At 40.5% G+C, this 21311-nt stretch overlaps 1 protein-coding gene across 6 annotated transcripts in view; it reads right to left on the reverse strand.

Annotated features, from left to right (window-relative positions):
• Positions 152-21311, reverse strand: part of USP24 (ubiquitin specific peptidase 24) — a 149006-nt gene continuing 127846 nt past the window's right edge. For 5 of the 6 annotated variants that reach the window (XM_047416524.1, XM_017000832.2, NM_015306.3 and 2 more), the window contains 13 exons: positions 19735-19831; positions 17565-17681; positions 17065-17157; positions 15115-15217; positions 13331-13452; positions 12331-12444; positions 11028-11093; positions 9250-9316; positions 7621-7699; positions 6579-6654; positions 6110-6196; positions 5607-5717; positions 152-2900 (listed from right to left, as the gene is read on the reverse strand). In XM_047416524.1, the coding sequence (XP_047272480.1) occupies positions 2838-2900; positions 5607-5717; positions 6110-6196; positions 6579-6654; positions 7621-7699; positions 9250-9316; positions 11028-11093; positions 12331-12444; positions 13331-13452; positions 15115-15217; positions 17065-17157; positions 17565-17681; positions 19735-19831 (1195 nt within the window). In that variant the 3' untranslated portion in view covers positions 152-2837. Of the gene's footprint in view, positions 2901-5190; positions 5252-5351; positions 5718-6109; positions 6197-6578; positions 6655-7620; positions 7700-9249; positions 9317-11027; positions 11094-12330; positions 12445-13330; positions 13453-15114; positions 15218-17064; positions 17158-17564; positions 17682-19734; positions 19832-21311 lie in introns of those variants that run through there. The other variant, XR_001737080.2, reaches the window with a different exon arrangement.

The raw sequence follows: 21311 nt of genomic DNA on the forward strand, positions 1-21311 counted from the left end.
AACAGCAACAGGCTCAGAGGACCCACAGTCCCCTTTATTAGTGTAAAGTACTAAGAGGAATCAACAGCATTTAGCACCAGGCACAGGCTCGTGTTCCCCCGCCCACTACGGCTGTGTTCTGATATATGAAGAATGGCGGCAAGACTCCAACTCTGTTTTTGAAAAATTTATTTTATACTCTTAGAAGCTAAGAACTTTGCCACACATGAACCAAATTTAGAATTAAGGTTCTTCCCTAGTGTATCTACTTCCTTTTGAAATTTTATAAACAAGATTTTATACACAAGAGGTAGCAGAGGAAAATTCCAGTCTGCTTGTTCCAAGCTCAGAAGGTAACTGCACACACCTCGATGTTAGCAGGGAAGGTGGGGCAGGACAGGGTAAGTCTGATGATACGGCACTCTAGTTCCTAAAACTGACTGTAGTTGTCAGTGACCGTGTGAGGACTCCAGGAGAAGTCGTGGTGAGATGCCCGCTGGGATGCTTGTTTTCTTTCCCAGGATGCCTTCAACGGGCAGAATCGGCCATCTTAAGATCGGCCTCACTAAGGGAGCTTCTTGAGAACACACAGCATTATTGAGTTAATTGTGCAATTCCTGCTCTGTTTGCAGACCATTTTGAAAGGTTTATAAAAACATCTTCATCCAAAAAATTGGCAGTAAAAATGACAACTCTTCCAAGGTAAGCCTGTCATAACTGTCACTGTTGTACTACATTAAAAAAAGTCATCAGCAGGTTCATTGACTGTAGCTGTCAGCAATCAAGTGGTTACCAGCAAAGTGAAAACGATGGTCATTGCAGCAACAATATAAGCAACATGATCTGAAGCGTATAATATACACGGTGGACGATCCTGATGAAGCTTTACAGTGAGGACGGCAGGTGCTAGGGGTGCGGAAGGCGTTGTTTCCATAGGAAATAAGGGGACTAGAAGTGGCAATTTCACTCCTGATTTTGGGCTCCTGAGAGTGCAGTCGCCAGCGATGATATCCCAGTGTGGATCATCGCCAGCATTTCAAGGTCATGTCCCACACAATCTCTTGGTGAGGATGTGGGCGGAGAGAAGGTGAGAATAGGGTAGGGGAAACAGTAGGACAGGAAGTATTCACGTACTCAAAACCAATGGTAGAACATCACATTTCAAACTGCAAGACCATTGGAACCGTCTGAAGTTTGCCACTCGCCTCTGTCCGTTTCTCTAAGGGTACAGTTCTGCTCTTAAGTGCTGGCCCTTCCATCTTCTCAGTGTGTTTGACAAAGGCCACTGCCAACCTCCAGCAAGTCACAGAATAACAATGAAGTCTGACAGCACAGAAACCCTCACTGCCAGAGAATGAAAAGACTGGGCCATGGCGAGAGCACAGTAATGAGATGCCATCTGCCTGGCCACATGCCCACACAATGCCACAGCAGCCAGACAGGCACTTCAGGGCTGGCTGCGCCTCTGTGACTTGGCAAATCTGACAGTGAAAACCTGGCACTTCCTAAGGCTCCCTAGTTCTGTGCATGGTGAGATGAAAATAAGGCAGGACCTGTAACTAAAGGCAAAACAGGGCCGAAAATGTGAGCAATTCAAAATACAAAATGTACAAAATATATATGAAATATGTGGGTGTAAACCTCTCCCCCACACCATAAAAGGGAGCTGGTATAAATGAGTGAATGGTGCTATACTTTGGAAATACGACTAAATGGATGGTTATTCAATTGCTTTATATTTATTTCTGGGAAAATAAATCTTAAACCTTGACTGACTTTTCAGTGTTAATTAGTCATGTTGAGGAGAAACAAATTCTCAAATTCCTTCTCTGCATTACAATAACTATGAAACTCACAAGCAGTGTGTACCAACTCAAATAGTTAACTTCATATACAACCAATACCAAGGGTTTCAGTAATTATGTTTTAAGCAAAAGCAAACGATTGCAGATCACATGATTTAAGACTACAGTTTATTCAATATGTCTCCAAGCATTAAAAAGATAATTCTGTGAAGTTAAACTCAGTAAAATTATATCTTAAAGTGCTTTTATTTTGCTGTTTTTAAAATCTGTTTGGGGAACAACTCATAACTTCTTTAAGTAATTGATGTCAAATAATGCACCCTGTACTTCTGGAGAACACAGCATTTTCAAAATTGCTCTTTTCAATCTAATTATATCAGAAAAATATCTTCAAGAGCTTAGTATTTCCCAATTTTTGATCCTGATCCTGGTAACCTTTCATCAAGATCCAAGCTTATGCATAGGGTTCTCATCTAGACCCATCTGAAATTCTATACAAATAGGGAGACATATTAAATACAAAGGTCTGTGTAAATTGACTTAATTACTATTTTACAATGAAAAGGAATTTTATTACATCTTTACATCATTTTAAATTGGATATTCCTGTTTAATATTACTGCAAGATTAAAAATTTGCCCCCACATATCTAAAAGCAGCTTGCTTTTTCTTAAAATATAAAAACCAAAGGAATTTCTTTTGTAGCATCGTAGAGAAAGCAACAGCTTTATGCTCACTCTTGTATGTTCGTGTAACAAAAAAGTCTGCCACTGGCTCTATTTCCGAAAATCTCCACAGAAATGTGAATCCACATATAGACCACGCTCCCGGGACAGCTGATCCACATGCCGGAGTTCTCCCACTGCCAAACAGCTCCCAAACCTTCTAGTGGCTTAAAAATGCTTTCCTTGAGAAATACACGATCCGCCCAAGTCACAGCAGCTTTCCCAGTCCAATCTCCAGGCTCTTCCAAAGGGTTCGAGATTCTGATTCCAAGAAGGTGCTGAGCATCCAGTATTGTGTCTTGACTCCTCTCAGGCTGGGCATGTTCCTCTAGGGATCAACATCATCAAGGTCACTTCTCAACTCACCAATCATCATGGGAGATTCTGAACCCTGCAGAAAAGAAAAGGAAGTTAAAGTTCATACGGTTAGAGAAAAGGTTTTCTATGCTGACTTGTGTTCTGCAATTTAAACATGTCTTCATCTGGCAACTTAATGCAATGTTTATCAAAGGGTAATAAAATGTGATAACTATTACATCTAATATTTGACAATTCATGATTATGTAAAACATGTACATTTCTATGATCTCATTTAGTCAGTGAAACAACCCAGCGACTTGTCTAAAGTCACAATGCTACTCTGCACCCATGTGAGAACGCAGAGCAGTGATAAAGCTGGGAGAGGCATTGATGGCCATTGTGCCCGCTTCACGTTGGGCACTGTGTGAGCCTCCCTGCCCTGCACCTGCCAAATATGGGCTCTGGGTCACTCCTGGGTCTGAAGGCTACCTCTGTTACCATCTGTGTGGCCTTTGGCTTACACACTTGGCGAATCGTTCTGAATACTCACCGTGTGCCATGGGGCTGATCTAGTTGGAGCTGGGGTGGGGAGGAGCAAGGACAGTCTCTCTAAAGTGACAACCTAAGCTGAGTGAGAGTTGGGGGTGAGTAGGGGGGCCCTGAGGTGGAAGGAAGAGAGTACATTTGATAAATAAAATTCAGAAAATGGGCCAGGCACAGTCGCTTATGCCTGTAATCCCAGCTACTTGGGAGGCTGAGGCAAGGAGAATCGCTGGAACCTGGGAGAAGGAGGTAGCAGTGAGGTGAGATTGCACCACTGCACTCCAGCCTGGGTGACAGAGCAACACTCCATCTCAAAAAAAAAAAAAAAAAAAAAAAAAAAATCAGAAAATGGGGGTGGGGAGGTGCGCAGGTGCTAGATCAAGCAGGACTGTGTTGAGGATTCTGGCTTTTCTCCTCATACAAAGCCTTTGAAAGGTTTTAGTGCATGAACCAGAGAGAAGCAGGGGTGGAGGTGAGGGGATCCTTACAGATGTAGGCAGAGAGGGGCTGATGACAGGTGGAGGAGAGGGACGAGCACCCTTTCAAAGGGAGCTGTCCGGGATGACATGGGGGTGCTGTGTGTGAGATAAGGAACACTGACGGAGGGCCAGCTTTGGTGGGCGCAGGGAGGAGGGGCTGGGCACATCGAGTCTGAGGTCTTTAAGGTATGCCAAGTGGAGAACGTCAAGAACAAGAGAGCTGGATGTTCATGTTCAGAAATCCAAGGTGGGTGCGGAGAGAATATGGAGTGAGGGCAGGAGGATACAGGTTAGAGACTCCACAAACCTTTACTGGTGGTCCAGAAGAGGCAGTACTAGGAAGGAGACAGAGAAGGAACAGCCAGAAGGGTTTGAGGAAAACTACGAGAGAGAAGTGTCAGGAAAGCCCTGGAATAGTGTTTCAAACGGGAAGAGCGCCAGGAGCGCTAGATGCTGCCGAGCAGTCGGCTAAGATGAGGCCTGAAAGCTGCAGGCCACCTGTCACCCCAACTGCTGAGTTGGAGAGAAGAGGGAGTTAGCAGGGAAGAGGCTGAAGAGCGAGTGAGAGATAAGAAAATGGGGAAAGTTAAGTTTAGAGAATTAGTCGAAGTTTGGCTGCAAAGAAGAGAAAAGAAGGCAGGGGCAACAGGGAGAAGAGAGGCTTTGACAGGGCAGAAGAGAGGCTTTGACAGGGCAGAAGAGAAACCAGTGTGCTGAGACGTCGCTGGGAAGGGTCTGGCAGGGTGGAGCGTTCTGGATATTGAAGAGTTACATACACATTAGAACGCAAAGCTCTGCCAAGGTGGGCGGGGATGAGCGCTAGGGGCTTTGGGTGGACAGAGGCAAACTTCCCACTGTCACAGGAGAGGAGACAAGAACAGTGCAGATGCTTGGGAATTAGTGGCCGCAGGAGCTCTCCTGTGACAGCTTTTATTTTCTCTGCAAATGAAGTAGGTGATGAGGTAATGTGTGGAGTGACCTTGGGCTAAGTCACATCACTGTGCTGGGCTGCAGTTACCTTTCTGTAAAATCAGGGTGACAGCTGCCTCACATAGTGCTTATGAGGATCCGAAAGATAACACTTAAAAAAAAATGACACCTACTACATCAGTAACATTCATTTAATGGGGCCTATTCTGTACCAAGTACTGTGAAGGGACCACAGAGGAGACTGCTGTTAAGGAAAGTTACAGACTATTGGAAAGACGTAATGATTAACTGACACTTAGTTCAGTGTTTGCACACAGTGGGTGTTCAATACATATTTATTTTCTTTTTCTACTATAATGATTGGTATTAAAGCTGTTTTTTTTTCTTTTTTTAAAAATACATGTCAAAATTTTCTTGGACTCCCCTGGCAAGCAGGTATACTTCAAGAGCACGGGAGCTTTTCTTTCAAGAGTCCACATTTCCAGGAAGGCTGGTGAGAGCAAACGAGGGACTTTCAGTAACCTGGCAAGGCAGAATAAAGTGAACAAGCTGGAACGAATCCCCCTGTGCCCTGGCTTCATCGGGACTACCTGCAGGCTGATCAGGGTGGCCAGCCACAAACACCTCGAGGCCTTCCATTCACTTCACACTGCAGCACTACTCAGCCCTGTAAACACACGGTTAGTGCATATGCTGAGCTGAGATCACTAGAGGGCAGCGCTGGTAACTCTTTGGACTCACATTCCAGAGGAAGCATCTTGTTTTCCCTCAGCTGTGGAAATTCTTTTTGGAAAGCTTAAGAGCAAGGCTGCCCTTTGCACACAAGGACATGCTGACCGTTATACCTGCTGTAGATGCCTGTCTCCGTTCTCATTGGCAGGACTACTCTCCGACCCATTACTGCTTCCTGATTGCTCTTTTTCATTCAACAAAGCTGTGGCATACGCTAACGTGTCCTGCAGAAGATTCAAACACAAGACGACAAAGTTAGGGCCCATTCAGTGGCAGCAGCAACCGCCAGGGAAGACTACCTTTCATCTGACCTTCAGTGGGACCGGAGGCCTGAGAGTGAGGCCTTCATCACAGTCACCAGAACCCCCTCAACCCCTGTCCCTTTTTGTGACCAGACTGCCCAACCTGTATGACTTTCCTTCTAGACAAATAATCTGCACAAATTTGTGTAAGTGTACACCAATCTGTTTTCTTTTCATAGAAATCCAATTGTTTCTTCTGCTTGTTCTCATCTTCAACTCATACCTCTCTTCTCAGAGGTTGCAGTTTCTGAGAAACACACTGAAAATCCTCCATAAGTGATTTAGACCACGCAAAAACAAGAGACAACTCTCACCTGAGCTGAAATGGTTCGCTGAAAGGTTTTTCCAGTTGATGTTTCATTAGAGACATTACTCTGTGGTGTCCAGTAATGTTCTGACATCTGAGATGAAAGGTCAAAAATGCCATCAGAGGTGACAAATAAGCCCCCATGGGTTCACAGTTTCTACCATTAGATATTGAGTCTTAAAAGCATCCCAAGTAGGGTACAAGTCTACCCAGACCTTCCATCACATAAAGCGATTCAAGACCTCAGTCAAGTATTGCTTCTTATATCATCATCCCTACCTTTTCCCCTATGAAGTTAAGACATATGTATTAGGACAAATTTAATGCACACAAGATATAAACTGTAGCAAAGAAATGTTTGAAATCTGAAAACACTTTAAGGTCAGTCTCCATATTCAGTTCTAGAGATTTTTCCTGACAAGATGTGCTATTATTGATTCCTATGTTACAGCTAGAAAAATTCAATGTTCAGTTACCTTCTTCTGTAGCCACTGCACAGCCCAGCTCCAGTGGTGGGAATTCTCCTTGAAGTACTCCTTAGCTGCAGGACACCTGATGACCGAGGAGATTTTTATTAGCCAAATTCTTTCTTTGCTTGTTCCTAGTGCTTCATTTTGAAACGTAAATGCTAGTTTCATTAAAATTCAGTTGTCTTTATATTTGTGATTCTACTTAAATGGGGTTCCTAGAGTAGTCAAATTCATGGAGACAGAAATTACAATTGCTTCCCCCAGGGGCTGGGGGAAGGGAGGAATAGGGAGTCAGTCTTCAATAGGTCCAGAGTTTCAGTTTCAGAAGATGAAAAGAGTTCTGGAGATGGATGGTGGTGATGGTTGCACATCAGTGTGAATGTACTTAAAGTCACTGAACTATACACTTAAAAATGGTTCAAATAGTAAATTTTATGTTATGTACATTTCACCACAATTAAAAAAAAAAGAACCTTCATTTTGCAGTCAATCAGCCTGTGTTCAAGTTTTCACTCTATGACTCTAGGCATGTCACTTAAACTACCCATGATATATGACTCACAACTGTACTAACCTCATGAAGTTGTTACAAAGATGAAATAAGATAATACAGGCAAGGTTCTTGACACGGTGCCTGGGTTCACAAGTGCTCAGGAGCTACAGGTGACATGATTTGAAAGGCTATTCTGAGGTTAGGGACCTAGAGCCTGAAGAGCTGGTAGCTGGGTTACATTAATGAGAAACCTTGAGTGAAAGCTCATGAACTCTTGCTCTTAAAGCCTCCATATCTGCCCTGATTCCTGCCTTTCTGACATAAGGCCTGATGGGTGAGCTTTTCTGGGATTCTATAAAGATCTGTCACTCTTTTAATACTTCCCCTCATATTTTTTTGAGATCATGCAAATAGGTTTCTGTACCTTCCAAGCAAGCAGGCCCTGACTGAGTCAGATTCTCCAGGTATCAAAACCGGGCACATGTTCCCCTTCTGCTCATATGTGACTTGTAATTAAAACACCATTTCCTCCCTGCATTTTAATTCAATACTTACTTTTGAGCAAGAGTGACAAGAAATTTGACACACTGGTAGCAGCGACTACTGTCCACATGATTACTGTGGTGCATCAAAGCTGAGGGAAGAGAAAAGGACATTTTAACAATAAAAGACTCAACTGAAAATGGCTCCAAGTGACAACAAGCTCTCTTGTTCTAAAAATCGACAAACTATTTTAATAAACAGATAAGGAACAACTTAACTAAAAGCATGGTGGTGCCTGACTCAACAGAATCCCTAAATTCTAATGGGTGGAAACACTACTTTAAGTATGTTTAAAAAAAAAAAAAAAAAAAAACCACAACAAAAAAAACATACATGGTGCTGCAAGTTTGACTTTTAGGAGAACTGAACAGGAACAAAACTTTTTACTGCCTGATTATTCACCTAGAGACTTTTCCACATATCATATTACTGAGAGTAGTTCTAGTACTTTTAGATTGATAAATGAAATTTTATGATGCTAGGGTCAGTTCAGCAATTATCACCTGCTCTATGTTTTAGGGATTTAAACATAAATAGGCCGGGCATGGTGGCTCACGCCTGTAATCCCTGCACTTTGGGAGGCAAAGGCGGGTGGATCACTTGAGGTCAGGAGTTTGAGACCAGCCTGAGCAACATGATGAAAGTCTGTCTCTACAAAAAAATACAAAAATTAGCTGGGCTAATGGCATGTGCCCATAATCCCACCTACTTGGGAGGCTGAGGTGGGAGGATCACTTGAGCTTGTGGGGCAGAGTTTGCAGTGAGCTGAGATCATGCCACTGCACTCTAGACTGGAAGACAAAGTGAGACCCTGTCTCAAAAATAAATAAATAAATAAATAAATAAATAAATAAATAAATAAATAAAAATAAAAAATAATACTTGGTCCTGCTCTTGAGGAGTTTATAGTTTTTAAGTTCCAGACGGCCTGTGTGTGGCTCTGACTAGAGTACAGCGTTCCAAAGGGTGGCCTGAAAAGCTGAAGCTACAAAACTTTTTAGCTTAAATCTTTTTTCTACAACAGAAAAAGGCCCTAAATCTCTTAATACATAGCAAAATCTAAAATGATTCAGATTAAGTGGAAATACAGGTAAATGGTGGAAGCTGGCTAAAATTATTCTTAACTAAACTTTTTCTAATAAATAGCTCAGGAAAGCCAATTTAGCCTTCTGAAAAAGAAAGCCCTGCCCAAACAACTTAAGAGTAGACTGTGAAAATATGGTTACGCTTACTATAGGTAAAAAGACATTCACATTTCATGAGCCTGACAACATCCTGCGTCTCAGGTTTTGGTTTTTCTCTCCCCAGTGGCTACAGAGTAGAATGAAAAATTTCTTGCATCAGGGAGTGGCCGTTAGCTTGTTGAAAAAAACTCACAGCACCCCTGAATCTTGCCTTATCTGGTAAAAGAATCCCAAGCTACACCTTCCTGACTAAAAGAGGAGAAATGTGTAGGGTGAGAAGATCCCTGGGTTTTAATTTTTCTGACCAGAATGAGGGAGCCCAGTGGCCCTGACCAGACTTCTACTGTATCAGTCACTGTAGATCCCACCGAGAGTAGCAGGAGGCAGAACTGGCCAGAACAATAGATTATCCACATATTTACTATAGACATTTGTGCATAAGACCAGGCATACTTGCCTAGTAATCCATTTTCTGTCTCAAACACAAATTTGACTCGCTCTACTTGTATAGGATCTTCAATAACCTGGGAAAGGAAGAAACAAAAATTAGTAAATAAAAGAAGGAACTTGTCATAGCCACGGGTGCTTTCTTTATAATTCTACCCAAGAGATTAATTTAGTGTTTGACAACAACAACAACAACAACAACAACAACAACAACAACAACACCACCACCACCAATACAGGACGGGCATGGTGGCTCATGCCTGTTATCTCAGCACTTTGCAAGGCCAAGGCAGGAGGATCACTTGAGGCCAGGAGTTCTGAACTAGCCTGGGCAACAAAGCAAGATCCCATCTCTAAAAAATAAAAAAAGAAATTAGTTGGGCACAGTGACATGTGCCTGTAGTCCCAGCTATACAGGAGGCTGAGGCAAAAGGATCATTTGTGCCTAGGACTTTGAGGCTACAGTGAGCTACGACTGTGGCTCCAGCCTGGGCAACAGAGGGAGACTCTGTCTTGAAAAAAAGAAAACAAAACAAAACAAAAAACCCAATACAAACAAATATTACACGGCTGCCACATATCTCAAATATATCTTAAAACTAAGAGAAAAAACTATTAAGTTATACTTAAAGGTCTATTCATTTCCTATCTATGTGTTGCTATCAACTAGATCTATAGTTCTCTGTGGGTTATGAGGACATATACTTTATGATCCTAAGGATAAGAGGTTTATGCTCTAACTTGCTTAGTAAAAATGTATTGAAGTTTTGCTATCATAGCTGTATTTCTAGTTCTTAGTACTGAACTGTGCATGGTATAAAAACTATATGGGTTTGTTGTTGATAGATGAACAATACACAGTCCTATCCCTAAGGAGCAATAATCTGCCAAAGTCTGTAAAAGCACTAGGACCAAAAGGAAGTAAAGAACTTGAAAAATAAGCTTTTAACAAATGGCATCTATGATGTCTTTTCTTACTCAAAACTCTTTATTAAATGATTATTCTGTGCCAAGGCCTCTATGGAGTATCAAGAATTCGAAGGGAACCCAGGCCCTCACTCTCTAAGGAACCTCTGAACCACACTCATTAACTCATAACCAGTCACCAAATTCCAATGATTCTCTTTCCACAATACCTCTTGATCTGTCTGTCCCTTGCCCCACCACAGGCCTTATTATTTCACACTCAGAATATTCCCAGACTCCTAAATGGTCTTCTAGTTCCCAATCTTGCATCCTTCTTTACTCCATCCTTCAATACAACTGCCAGAGGATTTTTTTTTCCCCTGCTCTTCACACTTCTGAGAGTGGAAAGAATCCTACAATTGATTACATTTCAGTTTCATGGCTCTTAAAAATATTTTTCATAGTACGTACATACAGTCAATAGTGTCTAAGATTTGATAAACTATAAAGCCAGAAATGTACCTCTGAGGGTGACTGTGAAGTTTAAACCTAATATCATTTGCGCTAACACGATGCCTTCTCCACTGTAGGCCCTGGCAGGGGTTAACCATCACTATCACTCCCCTTCAGTCCCCTGCACTACAGTTGTTTGTGTACTTGTCTTGCTCCCTCACTCAACTGTGAGCTCCTAGGAGGTAGTTTTATTACTGCTCGCCTCTAAACCAAATGCATTAGACACATGACTGACACGAAGATTTGGTCTCAATAAATGCAGACCAAATGAATGGAGAAATAATAAAAAGACATATAATTTTTTATTTATAAACACTTGTTGACTAATACATTCCTAAATAAAAGTGAGTCAGAACAGTTATGACTTACCAATATTTCATGAAGTAGTTGGAACGTATTCTTTAACTCATGAGGTGGAGCCGTTTCTAGTTGGTTCTGAAATATTTTTTAAAAGCATAAAAACTTCAGTGGAAAGCATATTGGAATGGCAATTAACAATGCTGGATCCACGTTCTAGCTCTATCACCTTCTGGCCGACCCTGGACAAGTCAATACTGCTTTCTAGGCCTTAGTTTCTCAAATGCTAAGTCTGGGAACTGAAATAAACAACCTCTAAGGTTCTTCCAGCTGCAACACTCTGATACTTTACTATGAAATTAGGAAGGAGAAAAGAAAAGAAAGAGTAGGGGAGATTTCAAGTCACTAAACAGATCCGATTTTATATATGTCCATATCCTAGTTTGTTTTCCAGAAGATGCTGGTAGAGCTACAAGAATACAAATGGGAATACTCTGAGTTAAGGATGCTATGAACAAAGTACATAAAAAGTCAGCTTATAAAATAGAAAAATGTGCCAAGATATACTAAGTGAAGAAGGCAAAATTCATAGAACACACTCCTTCAGCCATTTTAATAAAATTTATATGTATAAAAGTGGGAAAGGACATTGTGTTAAAATACCACACTTCCAAGAGGCCAGGTACAGTACTAAGTGAGCACTTCACGTATTATACCACCTCACTGAATCCTCACAACCTGTGAAGTCAGTCATAGAGGAAGAAACTGCCCAAGGTCATATAATTAGTAAATAGCAAAGAGAGGAACTTAATCTCCTCTGATATAGGTCTGTAGAGAAAAGGCTGAGGGCAAAACATATTATAATAAGAGCCTAAAGACATAATCCACTAATCACCTGCTTCTTGTTAACACTACATGTATCACCACTATAAATACTGGTGCATAAAAGAAGGCATGCAGAAATTCTGTGGGCAGAAACTAATATATACATAGTGGAAATTCATATAAAGAGGCCTGGAAGGAAATATCAATGTAACAGTGTTGGTCCCTGGGGTAGCGTGAGCAAGGATGACTGGTGATGACCACAGTAGACTCTGGTCTCATTTCTTATTTATTTATTTATTATTTTCCTGGCCTATATTTTTTCTTTTGGCCTCATTTCTATGCTTAAATTTTTCCCAAAGAGAGTGTAGTAATTAATCCATGTAATTAAAAATTAAAGATTAAAAATGAATAAAACTGAGCCTATACTAGAATGATTAGGAAAAACAACTTAGGCTATGAGAACAAGCATACTGCCTTGGAGCAAAAAGATGCTCTCCTAGAGTCTCACTTAAAGGCTATCTGGCTATCACTCGTTTAACTGAGGTCTTACCTTAATGAAATGCAGCATTGTGAAGGAAAAATGCTCATTACAGAAACAGCAGTACACTACCATCTCAATGAGTGCCAAGAGCGAGCCTGTCAGCTCCCGCAAAGCAAACATTACCTGGTGGGAAGACATAACACAGTCAGCTATTCTCATGTCACAGTTAACACTCCATCTGTTGTTGCTGCCTTTAACTGAAATCTACCCAGATTTTAAGATAATTAACACTGCCTGAAAACAGGGTTTCTTAACTGTTAGAAGTCTATAGATAGACTTCAGGGTGTCTAAGCCTGTCTGAAATTTTACACAATTTTGTGCAAATGTGCACTTTTTCAGGAGTCGTTTCCATCAGTTTTTCAAAGGCAAAAGCTCCCACAATTAAAATAATCACCAACAGATCCAAAAAATATTAAGCAAAAAAAAAAAAAAAAGATATGTATTAAATAGCACAACACTGTTAATTTAAAAAAAAAAACCAGAATTATATTGTTCATAGATTCACATATCTGTAAATCAGGTAGGGAAGAAGGACTGGAAGATGGAGTCCACAGCTGGGGGCGGCTCTGCTGGAAGGGGAAGGTTGGATTGAGGATGAGCCACACAGGCACCATGATGGAGAGCTGAGAGCAGCCCACCCACACTCCTGAGGTTTAACAACACACGTGGTTCAGAGTTGTAGTATTCCAGGACCAGGAACACACAAAAGAGATTGGGGATGAAACCCTCTACAATTAACGAAATGATTTTGATGGATGAAGTGCCATTTACCTCCCTCTGGGGCCCTGATGGGTAGCTGGCTGGGCTGGACCTGGAGGTCTGGACCTTGGCTGAACAGAAGACTAATAACATTCTCTTCCACTAATTATTTCTTTTTGACATATAAGAAAACTTAATTTGAAAGAACCATTTCTTAACAATACTCTTCATGCCAAACATAACTCGTAACAAAAAGCAATTTTCCTCAAACAGGAGGGAAAAAAATGGCTTTAGAATAACAAGTACATACCTCTAACAGGTAAGGTTTCCCTTCAGACATGAACAACAAGGCTTCTACCTCCTCATGGAGGGGCAACAGAGGGCTTGAGGGAGCAATGCTAATGGGTGGTCGTTGCTTAAATATGCCAGGAGCTTTAGGAGACCAAAGAAACAAAACAGAACCTGTCTCACCTGGTGTTACTCCACAAAATACACATCCATAAGAAAATGTGCCTCCTTCAAGACTCGCACACACACTGAGTACTCTCACAGAGTACTCACACACTGAGTACTCACACACTGAGTACTCGCAGAGTACTTGCACACACAGTACTCACACACAGAGTACTCGTGCACACTGAGCACTCACACACAGTACTCGCACACACAGAGAACTCGCACACAGAGTACTCGCACACACACTGAGTACTCACAAACACACTGAGTACTCACACAGCGGATCCCTCACAGTCTAGGGGGGATACCTAGTGATTCCCACTCCATAATCTTTCAAAGAGGTAAAAATATAAATAGTTTATGAAATACTGCCGAAAGCTGCCACTGAAGATACAGTGGAGAAGACACTTCTGTTCCTCAAACAACTGTTCTCAAATAATGGCTAACACCACCTATGCTAAGCAGAATCAACCCATATAGAAGGAGTTATTTCATTTGCTAGAAAAACCAGAATGCATACTTTAATTTTCGTTACAAAATTGTCTGAACTCACAAAATTAGGTAGCTTTGTCTTTTTAGATGAGTTGGAGTTTAGTAAGCAGACTCTGCCTTATAACACAACCACCTGAGTGTTCCTCCAATGTCCCTTTAGAGAGTCAATAAGCATTTCTCTATCAGAAGGATGCTCTGTGTTTTTATTTAGTTTCCTGCCATTAGATCTTCCTAGTAGCTTCTGGGTCTGAGTTTGCATTCATGCCTTGGCTTCTATGCCACTAACTAGCTGTATGACCTTGTGGAGGTTACTAAACCTTTCTGTGCCTTAGTTTTTGCATCCATAGACAGGATGAATACTCCTCATAGGTTTGTTACGGGGATCAAACACAGTAAGTTTAAAGCACTGTGTGCTTTAAACACAATAAATTTAAAGCACAGCACACAGAAAACACTGAAAAGCTGGTTTGTTGTATTATTACTATGGTTGTTGTCACTATCATGACAAGACCCAGGAAGAGTATAAAAACAGTACACACATAAGTTAGGACACTGGATAATCATATAGGACAATTTGTGGTTTTGCTGTATTGGATGATGACTGTGTTATTAGTTCTGGGAGACAAAATGGAAAATGCTACCAACTGTATCTTACATTCAAATATATTTCAATGATGTAATTTATATCTGCATCCCCTTTGTTTTTACAAAGTACTTTATCTCATTATCTCATTATACCTGGGGAATTATGTTTTGAGTATTTTCATTTTGCACTGAAGATCAGAACGGTCAGGTTCACGAAACTAGGAGACTCCAGCCCACACCATGGCTATTTTCCACACAGTAGTGGTTCAAATTAAGGTGATAAATGAGCTCTGAATTAGCTTTTAATCCTAAAGAGTTGTTTTAAAAAAAATACTTATATACCCTCTCACCTCTCCCAAATGAATGATGACTCACTTTCTCTTATGGCAAACTAGTAAAATATTATAAAGTTTAACATGAATTAAAACAAAAATTTTAAGTGCACCTCAACTAGCAAGTAGTCGAATGAGAAACAAGAGACATTCATTTACTTGCTAATATAATTACTCTCCAAGCTAGACAAATTCAGTATCTCTTCATTCTAAGATATGTTAAGCTTACCAACATTCCTTTGGGATGAGACATCTGAATGCAAAACAAGTAACGCCACTGTATTGTGAAGATTCCCAAATTCTCGTGCTTGTGCTGAACTCCATCGACGTATCTGTCATCAGGGAAGATAAAGTGGCTGTTAGTGTTGTCGTCAGAAATAATATGAAGAGGAAGGGACAGGGTTTGCTGGTTCATAATATTCTGGGCTTTAATTATTTCTCAGTGCTTGACAGAAGAGGTCAAGGTACAAAAAAATCACAGGTTTTAAGCCAGCTCAAAGGGTTATATTAACTCATATTCTAAAACCAGTCCCTTTATGGATTCACTGTAGGTACTGAGTGCTTACAACGTGCCTCAGTATAATGGGAAAAACTCTGAGGCTGGAGATCTGCAGGTCTGGCCCTGCCTCTACCACTCACTGTGCCGCGTAATGTGAGTGAGTTCTTCACCACAACAGTATCTTGAGTTCTTCATGTACTGGCAGAGGTAAGGCTACCTGCCACCTCCCTATTCTGCCTACTTTGTGATTTTGAGGACTAAATGAAATATTAAAAGTGAAAATGTTTTCAAAAGTAGAAATGTGCTCCACAAATGCAAAATAGTATTAATTATACATGCAGCTGAATTATAGTGAATTTAAACTAATTGCTAGTGACAATGGGGCCTTGGATATGGAAGAGTTTGAAGTGGAAAAGGGATATTGTAAATTTCAACATAGTATCCACACACAGAGCACGTGATGCTGTCAGTACTTGTTTTTTTAACACTAAAGAGAAAGCTGAGAGGAAGCCTAAGTCGAAAATCTGTCTCCCTTAGCAGGAAAGGAAAAATGCCTGTGTAATGTGTTTACACACAGGGGAAAAGACTCTGGCTTTGACACCAGCAGAGCTGGGTCTGAATCCCTGCTCCACCAATGCATTAGCTTTGTGACCTTGGACAACTTACTTAACATCTCTGAGCTTTACTCCTTGCCTGAGAATGGGGATGAAGCTGCTTAATTTTGATGAACTGTGAGTATCAAAAGTATACCACAATAAAGTGACCAGTCGTATCAAGTACATAATAAGTACTCCATAAATAGTACTTATTACCACTGCATGTTAGCATTTCATGTATTTTGAATCTATCAAATAAAAGAAATACGATGGATGGGAGAAACACTGCAATAAAGCAATTTCAAACAGGAGAGTTGGTTTTGGACATATTCAACACTATTCTAACAAAACAACCTCGGTAAGCCGAGGTGGGCAGATCACTTGAGCCCAGGAGTTTGAGACCAGTTTGGGCAACATGGTGAAATCCTGTTTCTATACAAAATACAAAGTTAGCCAGGCACGGTGGCATGTGCCTATAGTCCCAGCTACCAGGGGGCTGAGGAGGGAGGATCACTGAAACCCAGAAGGTCTAGGCTGCAGTGACCCCTGATTACACCACTGTGCTCCAATCTGGGTGACAGCAAACCTGGTGACAGAGTGAGACCTTGTCTCAAACAGACAACAAACAAAAAAACCCAAACAACTTCCTTTTCATTTGAACAAGAGTATTATATCTGCACTATCATTCAGTTTATAACAGCACAACTTTGCATTTGGATTCTGGCTGTGTTTTCAGCATCTGACTTAAAAGAACCACCACCAAGACAGCCTTGTTCACAGCCCCAGAGAGGAAGTAGAAGACCCCAATACCACCTATTCCCTAAAGGTTTTTGAAACCCCCTCCCCAGTCAGAATCCACCTTTCCCTCTTATGACTTTGTCACTAGTTAGTAATTTCCATGGGTTATTAGACTAAATTGTATGAAGAAGTTGTAAAGATAATTTAACTCCAAAGAATTTTCAAGTCTCTATGGTACTACTACTTAGACTTTTATGAAATTAAAAACATTTATCACCTACAAAAAGAAACACAGCGGCTATGAAAACCATAGCTATTCCACTAGGGATATAAAAGTAGTCCTTACCTGATTGTTTTGCCGACTGGCCCCTAGGAGGAAGCTGATCATGTGCCGCAGAGCTGAATGCCTCAGAAGAAGATCTCCAGCCCTAATTCCTTGCTGTCACAAGATATTGAGAATAACAAATTATATTTCTATCCAGACAAAAATTGGTTTTAAAAACACAGCTAAATGGAAAGTTTTAAGGAGTCAATATATTTTTTAAGAATATTATTTCCATATAGAAAGTACTTGTTAAAATCTAATTAAAAAAACTCCTGAGCCTCACATTGCTTCACAATAACTACTAAACAATTAACCCCTAGTTTTAATGCAGACTTCTACTGCTATCAATGAGTAACTATACCCACCTCATCAGAATTCTTACAAGTAATATAATTCACAAGATTTTTAGGAAGAAACATCATAAAAAACATACCATATAGAACTTTACTATCCAGTCTAAAAATTTTTTAGAGTATAAATCTTCTGTATTAGGAAAAGATATTAGGAAAAAAATTATTTACCTTTTGTACAAAAGTGTTGAACAGGAAAAAGTACTGAGCACAGTTTTTACAATTTTCTGGGACGTCTTTGTCCAACAGAGCAAGTAGTACCTCCAGTAACTGATGAAGGCTTTTTAACTGGTTAGAGGAAAGATAAAATTACATGAAGAAAAAGAACGTAAGACAGACATTTATAACAGGATTAATTTGAGGTAAACCACCATAAGAACAAAAGGAAAGTCTGATACAATCCAGTCTCAGATTCAGATGGACTTATGCTTTGAAGAGCAAAAACAGAATTATCCATTTTACCTTCCAGAGAAAGATTGGTACCATAGCAATAATTAAAAGAAAAGCTTAGTTTCAGTTCCTAGATTTCAGAGTCAAGGGCATCAATTCTACCGCTGAGTCACATTTTCTCCAGAGCCAGTATCTCTCTGTCTCTTAAAAAAAGGTGGGGTGTTTAGGGAAGACATTTCTGAATCCCTCCCTCCACTACGTTACTTCTTCACATAATCACAGATGCAAAGAATAAAAAACACAGACACAGGCATAGGGGCTGGAAACCAAGCCGATGGAGCAAATGGATAGCAACAGCCTGACAGAATGACAACGGTGATATCGACTCAGCCGTGAACTTACTTGAGAGCCCGCTGACGCCTCATGGAAAGCTTTGAAAAACATTTTATTTGTTTAGAAACCATTTTGGTTATGACATTGCTTCTTCTTTCCCTCCCACCCCAACTGTTTTTGGACAAGTCCCTAGAAATTCATCTGTGATCTAGATTTAAGACCAGGCTTACTACTCTCATTAGTTCGTTTCCTCTGAAGATGGTATTCATACTTCTGCAATATTCCCATCCATCCTGTCACACCCATTATAAATACAGTAAAATTTAGCATTTACATAGCACTTCATTTTCAAAGTACTTTACAAGATAAAGTGGGTGGCAAGAGGCACCATTTCCATTTACGGGGGGAGGGGGGCAAATAGACATGAAAATCCATCAGCTGGGCATCAGACAGAATTCACTGAGCAAATGGCTTCCAAGTGTATGGCCGCCATTCCCTTCTCTTTCTGCCGCCTGCTGTCCTGCCTTTAGAGGCTGGTGGGTAATATGCTACGGCCTGACCCCATCTCTAGGGAGGCTGCACTAACTCTGCCTTTATCCTTTGTTTGGGTTGGTACATGGGAGGAAGGAGGAGAGTGATATGGTCCTTATGTTAAGGATTCTTGATGCATCTTAGAAACTTCCACAGGGAATGGAGCAATGGCATTTGAACTGTCCTCAGCTGCTCCTGTGGCTTGTATTCTATATTTTGCATCTAGGTAGGATTTTGTTTAAAAAATGGTTCTGCTATTTAAGCTGATCAAAACCACTGCCTTACAGTAAACCTCAACTTCCTAATGATTCCCGGAATTGAGATACAGTCTTTGAGGACCTTCCTAAGGGGCATATTTGACTGCCTTGTTCATGGAACTAAGTGCTTGGGTGGCAGGCACTGTATCTGGATCAACATCCTCCTTAAAGGACTTGCTCAAAGTTGCACAGCAAAGCCAACATCTGCATTTGAAGCAGTAATTCCTAGAATCTGTATTTAGTTCATTGAGGCACAATGCCTCCAGCTAATGTTTATAAGAAGCCAATTTGTTGTGAAAATAACATTTTTCAAAGTTTTCCATGTAGTGTCAGCTGTTTGAAACAGCAATCTTGGGAAGTAACTGCTGTACCTGTAAGGACTTAACGCCCCTGGATGAATAGCACTATTTGGTTTGGTTGCCAGCTGCAGGTTTAGATCAGGAAAATAGCTTATGAGGAAAAAGACAAAGCCAGAGGTGGCTCAAAATGTCTGCTGGCCTAGATGAGTCTCTAGACACAGATTAGTCTCAGTTCAGAGAGATCTAATACAAATTCTTGAGAAAGGACTCTGAAAAGGGAGTGTTTCTAGAGAGAAAATCCCAACGCAGACCAAAGCAGGCCTGAATTCCTGGCCTACCCTGGTGTTTGGGATGTGAGGAGGAAGGGACAGAATGCCTTCTCCCTGGCATGTACCAAAAATCAGTTCACAGAAGGTGTATTTATGTGGCAAAATTACCAGACTCCAATCCTAGGCTCTTTCTTATTACCTGCAATTTAAAACATTTGGTAAAAACACAGTGTATAAATAACGTTTTAAAAATGAGACCGACCTTATCCTGATAAAACAAGGCACTGTCTAGGGTTTTCTCCAGAATGGTGGCCACAGCAACTCGTACTTCTCTCACATTGCACTCCAGTAAGAAAATCCTGAAAGAAAGAGAAAGGTGGTGTGAAAAAGCAAGATACATTTCCACAACCTCAACCTTCCCATGATAGGTCCCATCTAATAGCCAAGAAACAAAAGTAGAGTCTCCTGACAGTGTTAGCGCTTATGGGCCAAGTGGAGCTTTCCAAGGTCACTTCACTTCTGCTTATTCCTGCTAACTGTAATGCCACATACCAGCCAAGGCTCTGTTCAAAATTCACTAAGACTCTATGTGGCAACTATGAGAAAGTTTAAAAGATAAGAAGTACTCCCATAATGTTCAGCTCTAGAGGTACAATCAGACTCAGCTGCAATTCTCTTGAAGGGAATACCTAGAGGATGCAAACAGATCCAGAATATGGGGAGCTCTACAGAGCAAACAGTCTACTCCTCAAACAAATGGCACAGCATACAAGGGGCAGGGGGACAAAGGAATGACTGATGGTCAGAAGAGCCTTAAGAGACACAGAAAGCAAAGGCCATGTGTGGACCTCACTGGATCCTGATTTGTGCAAACTCAATGGTAAAATGACACTTCTGAGACCTTTGGAGGAAATCTGAACATGGACTAGATATAAGGTGATATGAAGGAATTATATTAATTTTGTTGGTGTGATAACAGTAAAGTACTTACATTGTTTTTAACTTTGCTGTTAGAGATGAACTTTACCTTCAGATACACGCTGAAAATTTATTGTGAAATGATATAATGTCTGCAATTTAAAATACTTCAGAGAGACAAAAAAGCCTGCATGTGGGTATCCTGTGTGAGAGCTGAGATAGCTAAGGCAAGACAGGCAAATGTCAACAACTTGCCTGGGGCCTGGGTACAGGAGAGGGCTCATTCTGCCTACTTCTGCGTGTGTTTAAACATTTCCACAATAAAAGGCTCTTTAAAAATGTAAAGTATCCTTCATGTTAGTAGTCTGAATTCTTTAGATCAATCTGTAAGCAATATTTACTATGAATTAATTTTTTTACAATTATAATTATGTTTAAAGAATTGCCTTAGAAGACTATACCAAGGGGCTGATCTAAAAGACAATATCTCTTCATGTTTAAAGTTACTAAAATATGAGTATAGTATATATACTTATTTTTTAGTTGCAAAAATGACAACCTATCTTAAAAATTATAAAGAAATAAGTAATTAGAAAAAAAGATCATTAATTCTTCAAACACGAAATCATAGCAATTGATAGTGATGAGTGATTGGTCTTTATAAAGAAAGAAACAAACTATAATAAACTCCATCAGGAAGAATGTAGAAGTAATTCACTGGGATTCTTGAGCATTAGGAATACCAAGAAACCAAACATACTACCCAAAGGACGTTACAGTTTCTCTGGAGATATTTAAAAGCAAGTCTGCTTGGACATAAGGGAATGAATAAAATATTTGCATATTTGCCATGTTCCTTCCAAATGGATGATCTTTCTATAACATTCTAATGCTTGCACAATGCTCAGGAGTCCCGTTGGA

The sequence above is a fragment of the Homo sapiens genome, chromosome 1, assembly GCF_000001405.40.
Source record: "Homo sapiens chromosome 1, GRCh38.p14 Primary Assembly".
Taxonomy (NCBI): domain Eukaryota; kingdom Metazoa; phylum Chordata; class Mammalia; order Primates; family Hominidae; genus Homo; species Homo sapiens.